The sequence below is a fragment of the Homo sapiens genome, chromosome 4 (genome assembly GCF_000001405.40).
Source record: "Homo sapiens chromosome 4, GRCh38.p14 Primary Assembly".
Lineage (NCBI taxonomy): Eukaryota > Metazoa > Chordata > Mammalia > Primates > Hominidae > Homo > Homo sapiens.
This window is the reverse complement of record NC_000004.12, coordinates 6,960,747-6,984,147: the sequence shown is the minus strand read 5'-3', so window position 1 is coordinate 6,984,147 and position 23,401 is coordinate 6,960,747. Positions and strand designations below refer to the sequence as shown.

At 46.9% G+C, this 23,401-nt stretch overlaps 1 protein-coding gene across 14 annotated transcripts in view, besides 5 other annotated features; it reads right to left on the bottom strand.

The window, feature by feature from the left end:
• TBC1D14 (TBC1 domain family member 14) overlaps nucleotides 1-23,401 on the bottom strand; it is a 123,649-nt gene that overhangs the window by 48,967 nt on the left and 51,281 nt on the right. For all 14 annotated transcript variants that reach the window (XM_011513508.2, NM_001113361.2, XM_017008477.2 and 11 more), the window contains one exon: nucleotides 16,724-16,844. In XM_011513508.2, coding sequence (XP_011511810.1) covers nucleotides 16,724-16,844 — 121 coding nt within the window. The remainder of the gene's footprint in view (nucleotides 1-16,723; nucleotides 16,845-23,401) is intronic.
• Nucleotides 10,179-10,817: an enhancer, noted in NCBI's record as "NANOG-H3K27ac hESC enhancer chr4:6975058-6975696 (GRCh37/hg19 assembly coordinates)". NCBI's record gives its function as "activates a minimal SCP1, AML or CMV promoter by ChIP-STARR-seq in naive H9 embryonic stem cells {active_cell/tissue: H9 hESC(naive)}" and the evidence as "EXISTENCE:reporter gene assay evidence [ECO:0000049][PMID:30033119]".
• Nucleotides 10,818-11,455: an enhancer, noted in NCBI's record as "NANOG-H3K27ac-H3K4me1 hESC enhancer chr4:6974420-6975057 (GRCh37/hg19 assembly coordinates)". NCBI's record gives its function as "activates a minimal SCP1, AML or CMV promoter by ChIP-STARR-seq in naive H9 embryonic stem cells {active_cell/tissue: H9 hESC(naive)}" and the evidence as "EXISTENCE:reporter gene assay evidence [ECO:0000049][PMID:30033119]".
• Nucleotides 10,912-11,206: a silencer, noted in NCBI's record as "tiled region #8425; K562 Repressive non-DNase unmatched - State 19:H4K20". NCBI's record gives its function as "represses a minimal TATA promoter and a strong SV40 promoter by Sharpr-MPRA in K562 cells {active_cell/tissue: K562}" and the evidence as "EXISTENCE:reporter gene assay evidence [ECO:0000049][PMID:27701403]".
• Nucleotides 12,733-13,370: an enhancer, noted in NCBI's record as "H3K27ac-H3K4me1 hESC enhancer chr4:6972505-6973142 (GRCh37/hg19 assembly coordinates)". NCBI's record gives its function as "activates a minimal SCP1, AML or CMV promoter by ChIP-STARR-seq in primed H9 embryonic stem cells {active_cell/tissue: H9 hESC(primed)}" and the evidence as "EXISTENCE:reporter gene assay evidence [ECO:0000049][PMID:30033119]".
• Nucleotides 19,694-19,933: an enhancer, noted in NCBI's record as "active region_21266". NCBI's record gives its function as "activates an Ori minimal core promoter by ATAC-STARR-seq in GM12878 lymphoblastoid cells {active_cell/tissue: GM12878}" and the evidence as "EXISTENCE:reporter gene assay evidence [ECO:0000049][PMID:35858748]".

The following is a 23,401-nucleotide window of genomic DNA, read 5'->3' as shown; positions in this document are numbered from 1 at the left end:
AAGCCAGAGTCTTCCCAACCCACCCCAACCCCATGTTCACAGGCCTGAGACCCCTCTCACCCCAGTACTGTGAAAGGCCCCAGTAAAGACCTGTAAAAGAACAAATGTGTTTCCTGTTCCTGAATTCCTATTCCTTCTGGCGAGACGCAGCAGTAAGACTGAACACAAGATCCACAGTGTTTGCACCAAAGAAACTGTGCTCTCAACACTACCCTCTCCAACTAACGGAAACTTATCACTTCCACATTAGGAAAAATAAGCAAAACTTAGGAAGCATTAAGCATTAAATAGGAATTTCAGTCTTTATTGTTAAAAGGCATTGGGGATGAAGAATTTATACTTCTCAGAATAAATAAGCTGTTACCAGGATAATAGAAGACTAAAAAGGAAAGTGCAAATTAAACAACCATGCTGCCATTTCCCCTGTAGAAACTTCAGATCACTTCCTTCTTTCTAGTTCTTGGCATCATGTGGAAGTATGATATGTAATTAACCTGCTGCTTCTCTAAACCCCAACATTAATGGGGACAAATGGGGATTAGACATTTTATGGGATAATCTCCTGATAGACCTGTTCTCCACCAAACGATCCCAGTCCCATACAAACATGACCTCTACCACCTTGACAAGCCAAAACTTCCAGAGTAGGTTCAGCTTTCAACTCGGTCACCAGCTGTATAATGTTTCCCTCTGCTCTGGCCACTAGAAAGCTCAATGTAAAATTTGTAGCACACCTCTAGGAGTTACATGAGATTCTGTGAGTTGTATCTTGGGGCATCCACTTACGTCTGGTTTCATCTTGCTGTCCTTTGCCCAAATTTCCTCAACAATTTTTCTGTCATTCTACACATTAAAAATATATATATATATTTTAAAGGCCGGGTACGGTGGCTCACGCCTGTAATCCTAGCACTTTGGGAGGCCAAGGCAGGCGGATCACTTGAGGTCAGGAGTTCAAGACCAGCCTGGCCAACATGGTGAAACCCTGTCTCTACTAAAAATACAAAAATTAGCCAGAAATTGCTTGAACCCAGGAGGCAGAGGTTGCAGTGAGGCGAGATCGTGCCACTGCACTCCAGTCTGGGCAACAGAACAAGACTTTGTCTCAAAAAAAAAAATTCTTTTAAGTAGACATGTACACAGAACAAAATACAAAAGGTACAAAAGTGTATACAGTGGAAAGTAGGTCTCCCTCCTATCTCCCATGTACCCAGTTTGTTCTCCTCTCCAAAGAAATTCCACTAATAGCTATTTTGTAAGTACCCTTCCAAATATGGTCTCTGCATTTATGAGGATGTGTGTGTATCTTTAGCCACATAGACCACACTATACAAATAGTGATCCATCTTGCTTTGTGAGGTCGGTGCAGTATTTCATTTAGGATTTCACCAATTCCCTGCCAAACATTTAGATAGCTTCCAATCACTTGTGCTGCGATCAATACCCTTATACAACTGTCATTTCACCTATATGCGTATTCATCTGTAGGAGAAATTAACAGAAGTGGAAATGCTGGGTCAAAAGAACCCTAAATGATCCATTAATTCATGTTAATTTTTTGAATTAACATACAGTTAGCTTTTTAGTGTATATAGTCCTATGACTTCTAAAATGTTGCCTTGTAGCCACCATTATGACAATCAAGATATAAAACAGTTGGATCACTCTCAAAACCTCCTTTGTGTTAGCCCTCGGTAGTCACACCCTACCCCACCCCTGGCACTGTGAATCTGTTCTCCATCACTACAACTTTGTCTTTTCAAGTATGTGATACAAATGAAATCACAGCACGCAAACTTTCGAGACTGACTTTTACCTTCAGATAATGCCCGAGGTTCACCCAAGGTATTAGGTGTGTTTATTACTGAGTCATATTTCGTTGTATGGAATGTACCACCATTCATCCATTCATTGAAAGGCATTTGGGTTGTTTCCATTTCTTGAAGATTATGAAAAGAGCTGCTATAAACATGTACAGATTTTTGTGCAAACATAAGTTTTCATTTCTCGATGGCAAACACCTAAGAGTGGGATTGCTGGGCTAATTCTAAGTATATGTTTCACCTAAAGAAACCTCCCAACTGGTTTTCCAGAATGGCTGTACCATTGTGCATTACCACAAGCAAGGTACCAGCTAGGACTTCCGATACAATGTTGAACAGGAATAGTAAGAGCGGACATCCTTGTCTTGTTTTCAATGTTAGGGGAAGGCCTTCAGTCTTTCTCCATTAAGCATGTTAGCTGTAGCTGTTTCCTGTAGATGCTCTTTATCAGGTGGGGGAAGTTCTCTTCCATTTCTTCTTTGCTGAGAGTTTTTGTGAGGAATGGACACTGAATTCTATCAAATGCTTTTGCTGCACCAACTGATAGGATCGTGTGGTTTTCTTTAAATTGGTAGTATGGTAGCTGACACTGATCGATTTTCAAACACTGACCCAGCCTTGTGTTCCTGGGCTAAACGTCACTTTGTCATGGTTGTAACTTTTTAATGTATTATGGGATTCAATTTGTTAATACTGTGTTGAGAATTTTTTGTGTGTCTTCAAAAGGGATATTTGCCTGTAGTTTTTTTGGTACTGTATTCATCTGGTTTTGATAGCAGGGTAAGATTGGCCTTTAAAATGAGTGAGGAAGTACGTACTCCGTCTTCTTCTCAAATTGGTGTTTTCTTTAAATGTTCAGTAGGATTCATCAGTGAAACCATCTAGTCCTTCTTTAATAAATTCCAGGATGATTCAGGTTATCTATTTCATCTTGGATGAATTTTGGTGATTTGCAATTTTCAAGGAAATGGACGGTTTCATCTAAGTTATCAAATTTATGTGGCTGGTGCAGTACCTCACACCTGTAATCCCAGCACTTTGGGAAGCTTAGGCAGGTGGATCACTGGAGGCCAGGAATTCTAGACCACCCTGGCCAACATGGCAAAACCCTGTCTCTACTAAAAATACAAAAATTAGCTGGGCGTGGTGGTACATGCCTGTAATCCCAGCTACTCGGGTGGCTGAGGCATGAGAATCACTTGAACCCAGGAGGCAGAGGTTGCAGTGAGCTGAGGTCGCACCACTGCACTCCAGCCTGAGCAACAGAGCAAGACTCAGTCTTTAAAAAAAAAAAAAAAAAAAGAGACAGAGGCCGGGCGCGGTGGCTCACGCCTGTAATCCCAGCACTTTGGGAGGCCAAGGCGGGTGGATCACAAGTTCAGGAGATCGAGACCATCCTGGCTAACACGGTGAAACCCCGTCTCTACTAAAAATACAAAAAATTAGCCGGGCGTGGTGGCGGGCGCCTGTAGTCCCAGCTACTTGGGAGGCTGAGGCAGAAGAATGGCATGCACCCGGTAGGCAGAGGTTGCAGTGAGCCGAGATCACACCACTGCACTCCAGCCTGGGTGGCAAAGCGAGACTCCGTATCAAAAAAAAAAAAAGACAAGTTATTTATAACATTCTATTGTCTTATTTTTGTGGAGTCTGTAGTGGTATCCCCTTTTTTCATTCCTTTTGCTAATTTTATTCTCTTTTTGTCAGTTTTGCTAGAGTTTAATCAATTTTGTTGATCATTTCAAAGCCCCAGCTTTCGGTCTATCATTTTTGTTTTTAATTGTACGGATATCTGTTCTCACACTTATTACTTGCTTCCTTTTGCTTGCTTTGGGTTTATTTGCTCTGTTTATACTTTCTTCAGGTAGAAACTTTGATTACTGATCTGAGACCTTTTTTCTTTTCTATGTGAGCATTTTAATGCTATACGTTTCCCTCTAAGCACTGCAACCTACAAATTTTGGTATGTTGTGTTCTCGTTCGCTTCAAAATATTTTCTAATTTTCCTTGTGACTTCCTCATGGGCCCATGATTTAGAAGTATGCTACTTGTTTAATGTGCAAGTTTGGGGAGGCAATTATTTTTCTGTCACTGTTTTCTAGTCTAATATCACTCTGGTCAGAACATATTTTGTATAATTTTAATCCTTTTGAAATTTTTAAGCTTCTCTTATATCCCAGAATATGGTCTGTCTTGGTGAATGTTCCATGTACATTTGAAAAAACTGTATTCTGCTTTTGCTGGAGGGTGCTGTGTTCTATAAATTGTGAATTAGATCAGGTTGGTTGATGGTGTTCATTTCTATGTCCTGGCTGATTCTGTCTACAGTTCTATCACTTACTGTTTAGTGAGGACTGTTGACACTCCCATTATAAATGTGGACGTGTCCATTTGTTTCAGATCTAATAGACTTTGCTTCATGTATTTTGCAGCTCTGTTATGAAGTGCAAATACATTTAGAATCATTATGTCTTCATTAGGTAATGTCCCACTTTATCTCTGGTAATTTTGTTCTGAAGTCTACTTTTTATAATATTAATAGACCTATCTTAATTTTTATTATATTAATAGACTTATCTTAATTTTGATTAGTATTTTCATGGTATATCTTTTTCTATCTTTTTATTTTAATCTACATATTCTATATTTGAAGTGAGTTTCTTGCAGACAACATATACATAGTTGGGTCTATGGTTTTGTGTTTTTTTTGAGATAGGGTCTCACTCTGTCACTCAGGCTAGCATGCAGGGGTAAAATCAGTTCACTGTAACCTCAAACTCCTGGGCTCAAGCGATCCTCCTGCCTCAGTCTCTTGACCAGCTAGGACTACAGGTGTGTATCACCATGCCCAAGTAAATTTTTTCAATAGAGACAGGGTCTCACTATGCTTATCAGGCTGGTCTGGAACTCCTGGCTTCAAGTAATCGTCTGCCTCGGCCTCCCAAAGTGCTGGGATTACAGGTGCAAGCCAACACACCCAGCCCATTTTTTTAACCCATTCTGACAATCTGTCAGAACTGAGTATTGAGACACACAACTGCTGTGTTCAGATCATTTACATTTAATGTAGTTGTTGATATGTTTGAATTTAGGTCTACCATCTCATTTGTTTTCTCTTTTTTTCTTCCTCCATGTCTTCTTTCCTGTCTTGATTCAAGCTTTTTGAACTTTTTTTAGAACTCCATTTTGATTTCTCTATTATGTTTTTTGCCATCTCTTTGTATAGTTTAGTGGTTGGTCTAAGGATTACAATATACATATTAACTTTTCACAATCTACTTAGAATCAGTATTTTACTACTTCAAGTGGAATGCAGAAACTTCATCACCACACCTTGTCCCCTTTTGTATTTCACTTGTCCTACATATTAACATCTACATACACTGCAAACGCCAGACATTATCATTTTTGCTTTCAAACATATTTTTAAATAACTCATTAAGAAAACAGTCTACTGATTTGAAAACGTTCCCCAAATCAATCTCAATAGGAATAAGAACCCCATGCACACGTCATTTCATTTTCTAGATTCTTTTCATGATAATTTATTATGTGCCCTGATTTTCTTTTCTTTTTTTTTTTTTTTTTTAATTGATCATTCTTGGGTGTTTCTCGCAGAGGGGGATTTGGCAGGATCACGGGACAATAGTGGAGGGAAGGTCAGCAGATAAACAAGTGAACAAAGGTCTCTGGTTTTCCTATGCAGAGGACCCTGCGGCCTTCCGCAGTGTTTGTGTCCCTGGGTACTTGAGATTAGGGAGTGGTGATGACTCTTAACGAGCATGCTGCCTTCAAGCATCTGTTTAACAAAGCACATCTTGCACCGCCCTTAATCCATTCAACCCTGAGTGGACACAGCACATGTTTCAGAGAGCACAGGGTTGGGGGTAAGGTCACAGATCAACAGGATCCCAAGGCAGAAGAATTTTCCTTAGTACAGAACAAAATGAGAAGTCTCCCATGTCTACCTCTTTCTACACAGACACAGCAACCATCCGATTTCTCAATCTTTTCCCCACCTTTCCCCCCTTTCTATTCCACAAAACCGCCATTGTCATCATGGCCCGTTCTCAATGAGCTGTTGAGTACACCTCCCAGACGGGGTGGTGGCCGGGCAGAGGGGCTCCTCACTTCCCAGTAGGGGCGGCCGGGCAGAGGCGCCCCTCACCTCCCGGACGGGGCGGCTAGCCGGGCGGGGGGCTGACCCCCCCACCTCCCTCCCGGATGGGGCGGCTGGCCAGGCGGGGGGCTGACCCCCACCTCCCTCCCAGACGGGGTGGCTGCCGGGCGGAGTCGCTCCTCACGTCCCAGACGGAGTGGCTGCCGGGCGGAGGGGCTCCTCACTTCTCAGACGGGGCGGTTGCCAGGCAGAGGGTCTCCTCACTTCTCAGACGGGGCGGCCGGGCAGAGACGCTCCTCACATCCCAGACGGGGCGGCAGGGCAGAGGCGCTCCCCACATCTCAGACGATGGGCGGCCGGGCAGAGACGCTCCTCACTTCCTAGATGGGATGGCGGCCTGGCAGAGACGCTCCTCACTTCCTAGATGGGATGGCGGCCTGGCAGAGACGCTCCTCACTTCCTAGATGGGATGGCGGCCTGGCAGAGACGCTCCTCACTTCCTAGATGGGATGGCGGCCTGGCAGAGACGCTCCTCACTTCCTAGATGGGATGGCGGCCGGGCAGAGACGCTCCTCACTTTCCAGACTGGGTAGCCAGGCAGAGAGGCTCCTCACATCCCAGACGATGGGCGGCCAGGCAGAGACGCTCCTCACTTCCCAGACGGGGTGGCGGCCGGGCAGAGGCTGCAATCTCGGCACTTTGCGGGGCCAAGGCAGGCAGCTGGGAGGTGGAGGTTGTAGCGAGCCGAGATCACGCCACTGCACTCCAGCCTGGGCACCATTGAGCACTGAGCGAACGCGACTCCGTCTGCCATCCCGGCACCTCGGGAGGCCGAGGCTGGCGGATCACTCGCGGTTAGGAGCTGGAGACCAGCCCGGCCAACACAGCGAAACCCCGTCTCCACCAAAAAAATACGAAAACCAGTCAGGCGTGGCGGCGCGCACCTGCAATCGCAGGCACTCGGCAGGCTGAGGCAGGAGAATCAGGCAGGGAGGTTGCAGTGAGCCGAGATGGCAGCAGTACAGTCCAGCTTTGGCTCGGCATCAGGGGGAGACCGTGGAAAGAGAGGGAGAGGGAGACCGTGGGGAGAGGGAGACCGTGGGGAGAGGGAGACAGTGGGGAGAGGGAGAGGGAGAGGGAGAGGAGGGAGAGGGAGAGGAGGGAGAGGGAGAGGAGGGAGCGCCCTGATTTTCTTCTCCGGGATTGATAGTCCATTGGGGAACTCAACTATTTATTTAAAATTGTGTTTCCCAGGAAATGAGAGTTATGTATATTCAACTGTGGTTTTGTGAATGTCTTTATATTTATGGTGTTTTAAGTCACCAACTTTGCATTATAATTATACGGCAAATTGTTTATTGCTCTTTCTACTCTAATCGTGTTATAGCACATTGTTATTGTATATTTAAAGGCAACATCTACTTGCTTTCAGTTAAAACAAAAGGAAAATAGTCTACTGTATTTATCCAGATCCTGACAATTTCTGCTCCCCTTCTTTCCTGATGTTCCAAGTCTCCTCCTAGCATACAGGCCCTTCTATCTGAACAACTTCTTTCAGCAAGTCTGCTGCTGGCAACAAATTCTTCGTTTTTCATCACCTGAGAATATCTTTATTTCACTTTCATTCCTGAAGGGCATTTTTGCTGGATACAGAATTTGGGTTGACAGTTCTTTTCGGCGCTCTAACAATATCGTTTTACTTTTTCTGGCCTCCACGGTTTCTGATGAGAAATTCAGTCAAATTGTTATTCCCCAATAAGTATGACATTGTTCTTCTCTGGTTGCTTATATGATTTTTTTGTCTTTATTTTCAGCAATTTGGTTATGATGTATCTGGACATGGACTTCTTACTTTTTAGAGTTTATTTTGTTTGGCGGCCACTGAATTTCCTGAATCTATAGGTTTCTATCTTTTGCTAAATGTGGGAGATATTCAGCCATCATTTACTCCAATAGTTGTCTGCATCATATTGTTTCTCCTCTCCTTCTGACACTCCAGTGACAGTGTTATACTTTTTAGTACTGCCCCACATGTTCCTAAGGCTCTGTTCATTTTTTAAACTCATTTTTTTCTCTGTACTATGCAGACTGGATAATTTCTGTTTTTTGTTTTGTTTTGAGACAGAGTGCTCTGTCACCCAGAATGGAGTGCAGTGGCACGATCTCGGCTCACTGCAACCTCCGGCTCCTGGGTTCAAGTGATTCTCCTGTCTCAGCCTCCCAAGTAGCTGGGATTACAGGCACCTGCCACCACACCTGGTTAATTTTTGTATTTTTAGTAGAGATGGGGTTTCGCCACATTGGCCAGGCTGGTCTCGAACTCCTGAGCTCAGGTGATCCACCCGCCTCAGCCTCCCAAAGTGCTGGGATTACAGGTGTGAGCCACCACTCCCAGCCTGGATTGGATAATTTCTATTGATCTTAAAATTCCTTCACTCTTTCCTCTACCATCTCCATTCTGCTATTGAGCCTGTCTGGTTAGTTTATTTCAGTTAGTGTATTTTTCAGTTACAAAATTTCCACTTAATTCTTTTTATAGTTTCTTTTCCTTTACTGATACTTTCTATTTTCCCATCTCAGAAGTGTGCACCCTTACTTGTTGGAGCATTTTTATAATGACTGCTTTAAAGTCTATTGAATAATTCCAACATCTGTGTTATCTCGGCAGTGGTGTCTTGATTATTAAAAGATGATCCTGGCCAGGCGCAGTGGCTCACACCTGTAATCCCAGCACTTTGGGGAGGCTGAGGCAGGCAGATCACTTGAATCCAGGAGTTCAAGACCAGCCTGGGCAACATGGCAAAACCTTGTCTCTACAAAAAATATACAAAATTAGCCAGGTGTGGTGTCACGTGCCTGTAGTCCCGGTTACTCACGAGGCTGAGATGGGAGGATCGCTTGAGCCTGGGAGGCAGATGTTGCAGTGAGCTGAGATGCGCCACTGCACTCCAGCCTGGGGGACAGAGCAAGACCCTATCTCAAAAACAAAAAACAGGCCGGGCGCGGCGGCTCATGCCTGTAATCCTAGCACTTTGGGAGGCCAAGATGGGCGGATCTCTTGAGGTCAGGAGTTCAAAACCAGCCTGGCCAACATAGTGAAACCCTGTCTCTACTAAAAATACAAACAAGTTAGCCAGGCATGGTGACGGGCGCCTGTAATCCCAGCTGCTTGGGAAGCTGAGGCAGGAGAATCACTTGAACCTGGGTGGCAGAGGTTGCAGTGAGCTGAGATCACACCACTGCACTCCAGCCTGGGCAACAGAGCAAGACTCCATCTCAAACAAAACAAAACAAAACAAAAACAAACAAACAAACAAAACAGACACACAAAAAAAGACGATCCTATCTGAACCTATTCTGATTCAGAGGAAATTTTTTTTTTTTAAAGATGATTCTAGTTCTTAAGCCAATTAATTTTGAACTGCATTCTAGACATTTTCAATATTGTGTTAAGAAACTCTGAATTTTCTCTCAACCCTTGGGAGAATGTTGACGTTTTTATCTTAGTAAGCAATTTATGCAGTTAGATTCCACACACAAGTTCCAGCCAGCCTTCTGTGAGTTGTGGTTCCCAAGTCAGCTGTTTTCAAAGCCTTTGAAGCGCTTTTTGGATCCATCCTGCCTGTGCACCATCCAGTGGCCAGTTAGGGAACTGCATGGTGGTCTATCCCAGAGATGAGTTCTCCAAGTCTACGTAAGCTACTCAGCGTCAGATCTGGGTACCCACAACATGACGAGAAGTCTGGGAGTTCATTAACACCTTAAAGGGTTACCTTCCTGAGCTCCTCCTCTCTGCAATCCCCCCAGTACTTTCTAGTTTCCTGGGTCTCCCCTTTTCTGGTTCTCTAGCCACACGCTTCCCACAACTGCATCCATATCTGGGCCAGGTAATGGGGAGAGAGAGAGAATAAAGCATCGGGGGGTTCACACTTTACCCCTTGGAAACAAAATTCTTCTAATCAGCTCCCCTTTTCTGGGAGTCTCAGGCTCCCATCAGCTGCTGCTCTCATAAGAATGCCTGAGGGCTGGGGTGCAAGAGGACAGAGTAAAAAATAAAACTAGGCCTGGGCGCAGCGGCTCATGTCTGTAATCCCAGCGGCTCATGTCTGTAATCCCAGCACTCTGGGAGGCCAAGGCAGGTGGATCACCTGAGGTCAGGAGTTCGAGACCAGCCTGGCCAACATGATGAAACCCCATTTCTACTAAAAATATAAAAATGAGCCGGGGGTGGTGGTGCACGCCTGTAGTCCCAGCTACTCAGGAGGCTGAGGCAGGAGAATCACTTGAACCCAGGAGGTGGAGGTTGCAGTAAGCCAAGATTGCGCCACTGCACTTCAGCCTGGGTGACAGAGTGAGACTCTGTCTCAAAATAAAATATAAATATAAATAAATAAATAAAACTAAAAAATGGGGTTTCTTCATTCTAAGTGTTAGAGACCCATTCGCCAAGTCAGAAGTACAGAGCTTCTCCTGGTGCTCTCTGTCCACATTAAGACCTATTCCTGGGTTTGGGTCTGCCTGAGTTCAGGCTGAGAAATATTGGAAGGGAAAAAAAAATTGGTAAACTCAGTACCAATCCAGTGGTACTTCAAATTCTGGTCTTCTTCCCCAACTCACCTGCCACTGTTTACTTTCCAGAATCTCAAATAGCTGCTCCATGCTTTCTGTTCAGGTTTTATATCTGCATTCATTGGGTGACACCGGGTGGAATGTGCTTATTCCGTCTAACCTGGGACCGGGACCTGTTCACTTCTGTAAGCTCTTTCAAACCCATTTTGCAAAGGCGTAAGGGATAATGAAAGTGAAGTTTTTTCTTGTTATTTTAGAATTTGCCTGTAGGCCAGCAGCCAATTACTTCCACTGACCACCAAGACCTATCCTTGCTGCAATCTACAATGTTTTGAGACTTTTGGAGTACCCCAGACTTCTCAGAGGTGAGGAGAGAAAATGTCACTGTCCTGGATCTGCCTTCTTCTGGGATTCTTGCTTTAAAATCTAAGAGCTGACTTGAAATTCCAGAAGGCCGCCCAAGACATTCCAGGCTATACAAATGCTAACACAACAGGCCATGTACTCATCGGTGCTCACATGACAGGGTTTCATCCAGGACACTGAAACCTACAAGCCTATCCTCCCTGCGGCTATCTTTCCAACAATCAGCAGCACCCTCAGAGTCCAACCAGGACATTAACTTTCCGCTCAACCTCATTTCCAACAACGACGTCAATCCCTACAGCCTATGTACACAGTGTTATGTCGGAAAGAGTTACCGAGTCTGTTGTAAAGCATCCCCACGTATTTTCAGCCCTGAGCCTCTGACACCTGCTCAAATTACAAAGCATCACTTTTACTTTTTAAATGGTCATTTTTGGGCAGGAGGTAGGTCCCAACTGGAGACAGGGCGGCAGCCTGACCGCTGAAGCTTCGAGTCCAGCTGAGATGCCCCAGGGGTGTCCAAGAGAGAGAATACAGTCATGGGTTCTTAGTTTCTGTTTCTGATTGGGCCAGTAAAGCCCCTTCCTCATCCCTCTTTTCCGCTTCTAGATACAGAAAACAAAAACCATAGCTTCAGACTGCTAAAAGCCTCAACAAAGCAGAACAACAAAAAACTAAGGCGGGTTGGACAAGCTTGCCCTAGAGGGTGACAGTGGACAGGGAAGGGCCTTCCAGGCACTCTAACATTTAGAGGATGGGGAAGATGAGGGACCTAGCAAAGGAAACCGAAAAGGTGGGCGAACGGGCAGCCTGGAAGCCGAGGCAAGAAAGTCACTCAAGGAGCCGGGGTAATGCTGCTGATGGCCAAGGAAGACGAGGGCTGAGAACAGACGCTTGCATTTGGTGGCCGGCGGCTGACAGTCACTTGAAACAGGTGACCTCAGAGATAAGAATTGCTTATCACCGCAATTCTTCACAACATTGATCACAACTATAATTATATGTAGAGTTATTTGTTTAAATCTGTCTTTTCCTTGACCCATGGTAAATTCCAACGAAGGCAAGGGCCACAGAAGTCTTTGCCCTTCACTGTAATCTCAGGATGGATCTACTCAGAGGCTCAAATCTGTGAAACAAACAAAAGGGCCATGGAATCCAAGAAAGAAGGTTCCCCTTTACTCACAAGGCAAAGGACTGCACTTCCGAGGCAGTGTCACCATCCATGCTGCCCTGGCCAGAGTCCAGCTCATACAAAGCCAGCAACCAGAGGCCTGAAGGCAGCTCTCTCCAAATACATGCTCCCATCTTTATCCACAATAACTTCTCCGGTTCACCAGCAGTTACTGAAATTTGCCTGGCCGGTGGGCTTTGGGCCCTTTATTTAACCTGCTGTGGCAAAGATGGCTATTTTCCTTCCAATAGCTAACATTCTCTTCCTGCATACCGATAGTTCTTAAATTTTGGCATGCATTAGAATGACCTGTAGCTTCTGTTAAAACAAAACTTGTTGGGCCCCAGCCCCAGAACTTGGTTTGATGTGTCTGGAGTAAGGCCCGAGAACGTGCATTTCTAGCAAATGCCCGGGTGATGCTGATGTGACTACTCCGGGGACCGCAACTGGACAGCCACTGTTGTACTGTTATTCTCCTACCCGTGGTCATTTTTGTTTCCCCTGTTAAGAAAATCGCTCTCAAACTACCATCGAGGTTAACAAAAAATATGACTTAATTTTCAAAATGTTTATGCAATTTGAAAAGATAACTAAAAGTTAACATTTCAATATTTCCCCAAAATAGTAATATATAAGGCCCAAGCCAAAAGAATGCAGCCCAGTTAGAATAAAATCCGATGTACTGGGCAAATGTCCTGGGCAAACCACATATGGGATCAACACCACAAATCGGACCTATTGATTAAAAGTCAAGACATCCATTCCTTGACTAGTAACGCCGGGCGACTCACTGTGTTCAACCCTGGGCAAAAATACACCACATGCGCATTATCCCTTAGTGTAGAACAATTAAGCAAGTAGATGTCATAATGCCTGTTTAGCAGATGAGGAAACTGAGAAGTAGTCATTGGCTCAACAGAGACAAAAAGTGGTGAAGCCAGAAACCAAACCCAAGCCTGCAAGTCCAAAGCTCCTGGCCAGTGTGCACACCTGACCCCAGCTCAACCACAGGCTCCTTGAAGCAGGTCCAAAGCTCCTGGCCAGTGTGAACACCTGACCCCCAGCTCAGCCACAGGCTCCTTGAGGCAGGTCCAAAGCTCCTGGCCAGTGTGAACACCTGACCCCAGTTCAACCACAGGCTCCTTGAGGCAGGTCCAAAGCTCCTGGCCAGTGTGCACACCTGACCCCAGCTCAACCACGGGCTCCTTGAGGCAGGTCCAAAGCTCCTGGCCAGTGTGCACACCTGACCCCAGCTCAACCACGGGCTCCTTGAGGCAGGTCCAAAGCTCCTGGCCAGTGTGCACACCTGACCCCAGCTCAGCCACGGGCTCCTTGAGGCAGGTCCAAAGCTCCTGGCCAGTGTGCACACCTGACCCCAGCTCAGCCACGGGCTCCTTGAGGCAGGTCCAAAGCTCCTGGCCAGTGTGAACACCTGACCCCAGCTCAGCCACAGGCTCCTTGAGGTAGGTCAACCCAACTGCTCTTGGGCTCCCAGTGCGCAGCACAAGACCTGGCCTCAACATGGCTCAGTACTTGTTGGCCAAGCAGATGAAGAATGCACTGAAGAGCTCAGGCTCATTCTCTTGCACTGTGTTCCGTTGTTCCATTTCCTGTTGTTCAAGGTTGACTTGTCATAAGAAAGAAACAACGGTAACAGCAAATACTTTCTATGTCCACTACTATTCTGAGTGCGTGTGTGTATTCACCCGTTTAATCCTCACCACCATGGAGGCAGGTGCTACTGTTCTCCATACTGTAGAGATGAGGAAAATGAGGCTCAGAAAGGTTAAATAACTTGCCCAAAGTCACACAACCAAACCGTAGCAGAGCTGGGATACAAACCCTGGTAGTCTAACTCCAAAGTCCAAGTTCTTATGTCACCACGTGATGTTGCTCTCTCAAGTAATAAGAAAACTTCCAGAGAAGGAAAAGGAATTTCCTCAACACTTTCTCTAGGCTTCGGCCCTGACTGGAGTTATTGTCACCATCCTGATCACAAGTCTAGGCTGTCATGGCCCCAGCGCCTGCCTCTCTCAAGTGCAGGCTGTGTGAGCCCATGCCTATGACAGCAGCCAGCCCCAGCCAGCAGCGCAGAGGCCTCCCCACAGTGCTGAGTCCCTGACCCTGAGCCCCTCCCAGGCTTCACCAAGTCCCTTGGGTTGGGAGATGAGCGATGAGAGGGCCAGAGACAAGCAAGCAGGTCCCGGGCAGGATTGAATGACTCGCGCAGGTAAGTTACATTCTTTATTATTGACGACGGAAGCAGATGGTCCTCCTCTTGGCAATATTGTGTTACCGCATAATGAACTGGCCTAGTCATTTCAGTTCACAGAAAAAAAAAAATCCTCTAAGGTCAAGAACATAATCCATGCTCCCCTCAAAAAAAAAACAGGGTCGGGCCGGGCATGGTGGCTCATGCCTGTAATCCCAGCACTTTGGGAGGCCGAGGCAGGTGGATCACAAGGTCAGGAGATTGAGACCATCCTGGCTAACATGTTGAAACCCCGTCTCTACTAAAAATACAAAAAGTTAGCCAGGCGCGGTGGTGGGCACCTGTAGTCCCAGCTACTGGGGAGGCTGAGGCAGGAGAATGACATGAATCCGGGAGGCGGAGCGTGCAGCGAGCCAAGATCGCACCACTGCACTCCAGCCTGGGCGACAGAGTGAGACTCCGTCTCAAAAAAAAGAAAAAAAAACAGGGTCTTAAAAAGACAAACAAGTTCAAACATTATGTAAGTGATATTAAGTGCCATGGGAAGATCTATTTCTTTTTAATGTAATTGTTGCTTTTTTAAAGTGATTTCTTTAAAAACTTTATAGCAGCTTGGTTATTTAATTTCCTAAGAAATTTATAGCTAAGCTTTGCATACAAACTCATCATACTTTAATTGTATGCTATTTTAATAAGCCTACACAATAAGTGATTCAAATTCAAAATGTAACAATCAACAAAAATGAATTCCAACACTGATTTACTTAGTGAGTCCCCTGGGTCCAGATGATTACAGCAGAGAATGGCAGACAACACTCAAACCAAATTTAACCTGCCGACGCGTGAAGAATGTGGCATGTGGAAACCCACTTTGTTGCCCAGAAGCCTCAACACTGCGCTCCCGCCTCACCCCCAACAAACCACTCCCTACACCTAACAGGTCACCCAGCAAGTCAATCCCATCCATTTAGCACTTAAAGGGGCATCCTCTGTAACCCCACGACGCAGCACTGGGCCAGACCCCACTTTCTCTTGCCTGGGCTGGTCCAAGAGCCATATTCTTGCCAGGGTGATGCCATCACTCCTTACCTACGTAAAACACTCAGAGGCTCTGCAAAGCCTTGGGGTTGGAGGCAGGCTACCGGGTGCAGCGCACAGGCCCCATGGCCAGCCTCCTCCCGGCAGTCAGCCTCCTCTCGGCGGTCAGCCTCCTCCCGGCGGTCAGCCTCCTGGGCTCAGCTGCACATTGTCCTTAGCTCATGCTGTCCCCACTACCTGCCTGGCCCTGCCTGCAAAAGGGGTCCTGGCATCCCACTGTCTGGGACCGGTTTCCAGCTGTGCTACTTACTAGCAATGTGACCCTGCACATCAAGTCACACAGCCTCTGTGTCTCAGTGCTTCTTTGGTAAACTGAGTTTAATAATACTATCTTCTTCACAAGGTTGTTGCGAGTTTTAAAGGAACTAGAAACACGAGTGCTGAGTCCGTTAGAACTAGCACACAGTAATCACTCAGTACATGATCCCCATAGCAATTAATTTCCTGTCACACCTTTAACCTCAGTTGTCTGTGCCACCCCACTCCTCCTGCGCCTGCCCTGGAATCATTTCCATGGGGACACTGTTGGGCACGGGTACTGTGTCCCTTCCAACTCCGGTGCCAAGCATGAGGCCTGGCGCTTAGTGGAGCCTCAAGAGTGTCTACTGAGCAAATGTCAATGAATATAAAACTGAAGCTGGAGGAGCGAGGGTGCTGGGGGCAATGTCGCGACACTTGGGGCAGACAGCAGACTCTTAGGATGCCGAGCCGGCTGAGACCCACAGCCTAAGAGAAGCTGCAGGCAGCGACGGTCACAGCTACCTGGGCCGTGGACTTGCTGTGTCCGTGCACAAGCAAGCCTCCAGCAGTGGCATCTCTCCCACCGTAAGGAGCAAGGCAGCCCAGTGGTGAGGACATGCAGGCCTGGCATGAACCCCATCCCCACCCCAAAAGTAGGCAGCCTCAGGGTGAGCAAGGGAGAGGCATCCCAGCAGAGCCGGGGAATGTCGGCCCTCGCCTTCCTGTCCCAGAGTAGCACAGGAAGGATGTGAGCTCCAAGAAACCCACGGGAGAAAGCTTTACTATCAAACAATACAAATTTGATGATAAACACATTTGCAACTATTACTAAAACTGATTAAATACAGTTATAAACATCTAGAGCCCAGCTCTGTCTAAATACCATTATAAACATCTAAAGCCGACCTCTGTCAAATGGACTTTCCTATGTGCATGTTACAAGCTGTAAGAAATGAAGGTTAAATTCATCCACATTGTGAATACAGACTTAAATCTGAGGAACGTGGTATGCAGATAATACAAAGCGATTTCCAGTTTCAGACTCAATATGGTCATTTTTGCAAGGTTCATGAATATATGCTAAACACATCCAACAGCCTATTTCTGTGATTTTGTATCTTGTGTACCTTCTGTATTCTCTTTGAATCCTTCTGGGCATTCTCTCGGAGTGGCGCTTTCCCAAATAACTTCCATCCCAAGTCATTGTGTTTGTCAAGCCTTGCACTTTGTTTTCTAGCAAGCAAGTTCCTATAGGAAGAAAATAACAAGGTTAGGGCATTTCTGGGTAATTCAAGAAACACCAGAACAGCAGAACCACTCTAATAAAAACAAGTCAGCTTTCCTCTGAGAACCACGTACTTTAATTCTTCAGACTTGATTTTCATACAGACACAGAATTACGCGGCAGGAGAAAGACCTTAAGCCAGAAATAAACTTTTTGTTGGCCAGGTGCAGTGGCTCACGCCTGTAATCCCAGCACTTTGGGAGGCCGAGGTGGGCAGATCACGAGGTCAGGAGATCGAGACCATCCTGGTTAACATGGTGAAACCCCGTCTCTACTAAAAATACAAAAAATTAGCCCAGCATGGTGGCAGGCACCTGTAGTCCCAGCTACTCGGGAGGCTGAGGCAGGAGAATGACATGAACCTGGGAGGCGGAGCTTGCAGTGAGCTGAGATCGTGCCACTGCACTCCAGCCTGGGTGACAGAGCAAGACTCCGTCTCAAAATCAAACACACAAACAAAAAACCTTTTTGTTATTCAACTAATTCTATAATTTAGAGTAAGAAAATGTGTTATGTCATAACAAAGGGTATCAGAAAAAGTAAGCTTTGAAGTCAGACTAAACTGAATTGAAACTCTGGCTCAACCATTCATTAGCCACATGACACTGGACCAGTATATTAACCTCTGAGCCTCAGTTTCCTACATTTAACAAGGGCACACTGCCCCATGTTCTACAAGGTTGTTATACAAATTAAAATTTCAAGTACACAATTAGTGTTAAAGAGTAACAGCTGCTTTAGTACGTAACCCCTAGCTTAAATTATGTACAAGGTAAATCTGTATTACCTATTTATAATGAGTATTCACATATCATAAAAAGAAAGTTACTCATGAGATGATCACAAGGTCTTCTCTCCAAAGAACATGTAAACAAAAGTTCCAAATAACACAAATAAATCCCAACTAGTAGTATTAACACAAAATAAAATTTTGGAATGCACTGTATCAATGCATTCATTAAAAACAAATGGCTTCCAGGACTTACTAGAAAGTACAAGATGAGCCTGCAGCATCTTGCTGGACTAGAAAGAAAGTTCTCAAAGAAATACTGGGACGTGTCTAAAAGAAACAGTAGCCAGCCTGAATAGGCTCCCACTGACTCAATCTGGAACAATTTACTCATCCAAATAATGAGAACAATGGATTATAACTCACTGAATAAAAGAGAAATCCACTAGCCCATATAGGTACAAATAAACAAACATAGAAATTAATGGAGGAGGAGGAAAGCTCTTGGGAAGTCACCTAGTAAGGAGAGACCAATGGAGCTAGGAAATGATCAACAGATGCTTACACCAGTGGGGAAAGCTCAATGAGGAATGGATTTTTACACAGTTTGAAAGTGTCTCCTACAAATTCCTTATTAATTACATGAAGCAAAATAGTTAATCTTATGCCGGAGAAACCTGAGGGACACACCTCAGCCAAGTGATCAAAGCTAACATCACCAGCGAGGAGTGGTGGCTCACACCTATAATCTCAGCACTTTAGGAGGCCAAGAGTTTGAGACTCACCTGAGCAAGGTAGTGAGACTCTGTCTCTACACATAATCTTTTTAAATTAGCCAGGTACGGTGGCATGTATCAGCAGCCCTAGCTACTGGGGAGGCTAAGGCGATATCATTGGAACCCAGGAGTTCAAGGTTACAGTGAGCTATGATTACACCACCAGTCTGAGTGACAGAGCAAGACACTTGTCTCTATTTTTTAAAAAGCCAGGACAGATGGCACAGGACATCTGATCTGATGCATGGGGAACAACACACCAAGTCAATGGCGCTGATGCCCAAGAATGCATGACCTGAATCCAATCATGAAGAGAAGCAGACACACCCAGACTGAGACAATTTATACAATAATGGACCTATAAGCTCTCAAAATGTCAATGTCATGAAAACAAAGAAAGGCTGAGGAACTGTTTCAGATTAAAAGGACATGAAAGAGGGCCAGGTGCAGTGGCTCATGCCTGTAATCCCAGCTACTCGGGAGGCTGAGGCAGGAGAATCGCTTGAACCCAGGAGGCGGAGGTTGTAGTGAGCCAAGATCACACCATTGCACTCCAGCCTGGGGGCGACAGAGTGAGACTCTATCGCCAAAAAAAAAAAAGATTATTGGGACAATTGATGAAGTATGGTTACAGACTGTGGATTTGACAACAACATTGGATTAATGCTAAGTGACCTCATTTTGACAACTGTTCTGTGGTTACATAAGGGAATGCCCTTGTTCTTAGGAAATATGCTGATATATTTAAGGGTAAACAGACATGGTATCTCAAACTTACTCTTCTAATGGCACAGGAAAAAATATGCATATATACTATCACACGTAAAGAGAAGTAGAACAAATGGAGCCAAATGCACACAGTTGGTAAATCTGGTAAAGAATATATTGGAGTTCCGGGGGTTTTCTGCAGTTTTTTAGTAAATTTGAAATTTTATCAAAATAAAGTTACAGAAACTTTCAAAAAAATAAAACAAATAGTTTCACTGTTTCCTTCCTTTTCTGTTGTGGTTATAATCATTTCGGAAATAGTTTCATAGCCCAAGGTAATTTCTATTTATAAGAAATGGACTTTCACTATGATCGTGCCACTGCACTCCAGCCTGGGCGACAGAGCAAGACCTTGTTTCAAAAAAAGAAAGAAAAAGAAAATGAACTTTGAATTGTCTGAGATTCAATCCGTTTAACATCTAAGATTTCGCCATCAGTGAAGGACTTAGGCAATTAAACCAGGTTAAAACTTCAGGCAGTAGAAGACACTAAGAACCTGGCATCCAGAACTTGGGTTCACTAAGGGTATACATTTTGCTGAAGAGGCGTTGTCTGTCTCTGGGAAACTGCAGTCAGGAAGGGGAAGGCACCAGGATCCGGGACAGGCCTCTCTACTCTGGAGGGACAGGAGCTGCAGAGGGTGTAAGGAATGGACGGGAGAATTGCACAGAAGCCGCGGAGTGTGGGGATGTGCAGAAAGGAGAAGTCTGGGTGAGTGGCTCCCAGATTCGTGGTCTGGAAGGTTGAGCACAAGCTGGAGTGTTATTCACTGAAACGGGCTGGCAGGAGGACGACTAAGAGGAACAGAAACCTTGGTTTTTCAGGTCTCGGCTAACACTATTATTAGTCTGTACAAAGGTAGTGCAGATAAAAATTAATGTCAAAAATCAAAGTTGTGGCTGGGCACGGTGGCTCACACCTGTAATCCCAGTACTTTGGGAGGCCGAGGTGGGTGGATTGCCTGAGCCCAGGAGTTCGAGACCACATGGGCAACATGGCGAAACCTGTCTCTACTAAAAATACAAAAATTAGCCAGGCGTGGTGGCGCACGCCTGTAATCCCAGCTACTCAGGAGGCTGAGGCACAAAGAATCGCTTGAACCTGGGAGACGGAGGTTGCAGTGAGCCGAGATCACACCACTGCACTCCAAGCCTGGGTGACACAGTGAGACTCAGTCTCAAACAAAATCAAAGTTGCATGATTATTTTTAACATAAGAGCTTAGGCTCATATGATAGGCCATGACTTTTGAAAAGCTCATAAAAAGCATGTTGATATATTTTTTTGTGGGTTAGAGGCTGAAGTGCGACCCCAAAACAAGTCACTACAAGTGAAAAGGTGCTGTAGCCTGGGGTCTGGGCTGAAAGGACATCCTCCTTTCTGGTGGGGCAAGCCATCGGGAGTCCTGGCGTAGCTGTGGCCGGGCCCGGGAGGCCAAGGGGGAGCCAAGGAGCTGCACCTACTTGTCACATGACCAAACATCACTCTCAGGTCACGTGCAGTGAGAGAACACAGCTGGGCAGGAGCGAGCCTGGGCACTGCAGAGCCCATCTGCTCTGTCCCTTCAACATCTGTGCTGTCTGCCCGACAGGGAGACCACACTGGTGCTGCTGCTCCGGAGTCCAGCAGTCCCTCAGCTGCTGCTTCATGGGCTGTGTGGCCCGGTGAGTCAGCCCACCCTTTGACCTTCAGATGCTGAGCACACAATGGCCATAGCCACCATCTCTGACACTCACAGGAGACAGAACAGAGGGGCTGCTGGCTCCAAGCTTCCTCTTTTCACTATTTCAAATGCACCTGTCCCACCCCCGACATGGGAAGTCCTCGCACTTGCCCTCGGGGCATTCTGCAGAGCCCTCCCGGACCAGCTGCCGGGCCTGGGCTCCCCTGCTTCTGTTTCCAGGGCACAGGGCATTCCCTCCATTCTGTACCTATGTGATGGATCCATACCCTCTCCTCTCCACATGCCTTCACCTTCGGTGGGGTCTCCCAGAGGGCAGGGTAGAGTCACCTCTGCATCCCCAGGATCTACCCAGCATGCAGTAGGTTCTACACACGTCTGCTGGCAAATGGAGCAGCCACCGTGTGTGTGTGTGTGCAGGGGAGGCAAGTATAGGGCGATGAGGAGGCAGGACTGACATGCAAGGCACAGGGGTCAGGTAACGGGAGTGCAACCCAGACGAATCAAGGCCCGAGACTGAGAACTCAACAGAGGTAACCTCTCAGCAGGAAGGAGTCCCTCTGAAAAGAAGGGGTAATGGGCAGTGGGGGGCTGGGAGAGAGCAGGCAAGGAGTGGCAGACCACCACAACCTCCCTGGAGCAGGCTGAGAGCTGGGGGGTGGCCAGTAGGGGGTGAGGGCCATTTACCAACCCTGCCCCAGAGAATGCTGGACTCCTTTTGTTTTGCATCCCCAACAAAGGGCCCTTCAGTGGGAAGAAGAAACTCCTTTGTCCTATGGAGAAAAAGCACTCACTCTACTAGCAGCATTAAGGACAAGCAGCTGTTGGCCTCCAAGCTGTCTCAGCTGCTGTGCAGACACAGAGCACTCATTAACCCTGGTGAGACTCACCTGCAGCTGCCGCAACCCCACCATCAAGGGCACGGCAAGTAAACAATCGATATCTGTAGGTGCCCTGCCTCCAACCCACACATGGTCAGTGCCACCCGCACCGTCGCAGCGGGGTTCCCTGAGAGCCCAGGACTCTAGCTCATGAGTCCTGCCCCACTACCCCGATATGCACACATGCCAGCGCATAGCTGTGGTGCCTCTCCCGCCACCATCCATACCTGCACAGCGCCTAGGTGCTGGCATATCTCACCTCCTACCTAGCCCCTTCGTCCAGGTGCCCACTCAGATCCCTCCTTCTGCAGCAGGTGGGAGAGGAGACCTGACAACGTCCGCAAAGATGAGAGGAGAACCATTTCTTCTTTCTAAAAGGCTGATGTCTCGTGTCAAAAGCCCCATCGATCAGCCTTGGCTCAGACACACCTCTGCAGTCAGGAGGCCAGAGCGAGACGCTTTCTCAACAGCCCTCGGCCGCATTCATTCAGACACTGAACAACAGAAACAGGAGTCGTATGTGCTCTAAACCCTCTGGTCTTCCAGGTTAACACCAGGACTCCCCACTGTCCAGCCTCCTTGTCCTCCTGCCTTTTTTCGGCTGCATACACCCTGCAGACAGATGCCAGTCGCGCCCCAGGTGTGCCTGCCTTGCCCCTCCTTCAGGCACCCCGCAGGTACAGCTCCACACCAAGCCCCAGACCCCAGCAACGCTCTCTACCAGGGCCATCTTCTGTAAGCACAAGTGGACCACGCCAGCCCTGCCACAAATCCTGCCAAGGACTTGCACCTGTTTTTGTGGCAATGGCGTCGTGGCTCCAATCACCTACCTCAGGCCTACCACACAGGCTGCTCCCTCTGCCCATTAAGTGCCCCCGAGAGGAGACTCAGGATTAAATGAGGGGGTTCAGCCTGGCCATGCACACACAGCCCCACCACCAGGCTCAGCTCCTCGTGGACTGGGCACTGCAGAGAAATTCTTCCCTACTCAACTCCTCAGCAGGGCCAGCTCAGCTCCCCCATGGCACAGAGAGATTTGGGGGGTCACAGTTGACAAGAATGGGGAGTGCCCATCAAAGGGTGCCCTGAAAGGTGCTGGCCCCATCAGGATTTGTCCACACAGGCTGCTCAGTGTCATTTTAAAGCCATATGGCAGAGCCTGGGAAACACGCTGGGGGCCGTCAGGGATCAGGCCACACCCGGCCATGTGAAGAGCCTACCTGTAAGCCAGAGAGAGGCAGAAGCACTTTTGCACAGGGAAAAGGGCCCAGTGCTTCCCTGGGGCGTTTCTCCAATGACTTGCAAAGTAATGGGGAAAAGACAGGGGACACCAACAAAGTAATGTTAAGAATAATGGCGTGTCCATTTTTCTGTGAAGGCAGAGCTCCCAGGTCCAGTGTCGAGTGCCAGACCCCAGGACACGGTGTCCTAATAATTAGGAGCGAGGTCCACGGCTCACACATTTAACTGGGACAAAAGGACCTTCAGAAGCCCCATTCCCAACAAGAGTAGTCAGGTACGCGTTGGACACCGATTCTGGCCTCTCTCGGCCTCCTCCGCACTGTTACCAGGGTCTTTCACAGGCCTGTGCAGTGCACCCGATTAGGCTGGAAGGGCAACATCTGAAGAGACGCAGCGGGGGCTGAAAACAGCAAACCGCCTGGAGGCTCCAACACCCCTCACCT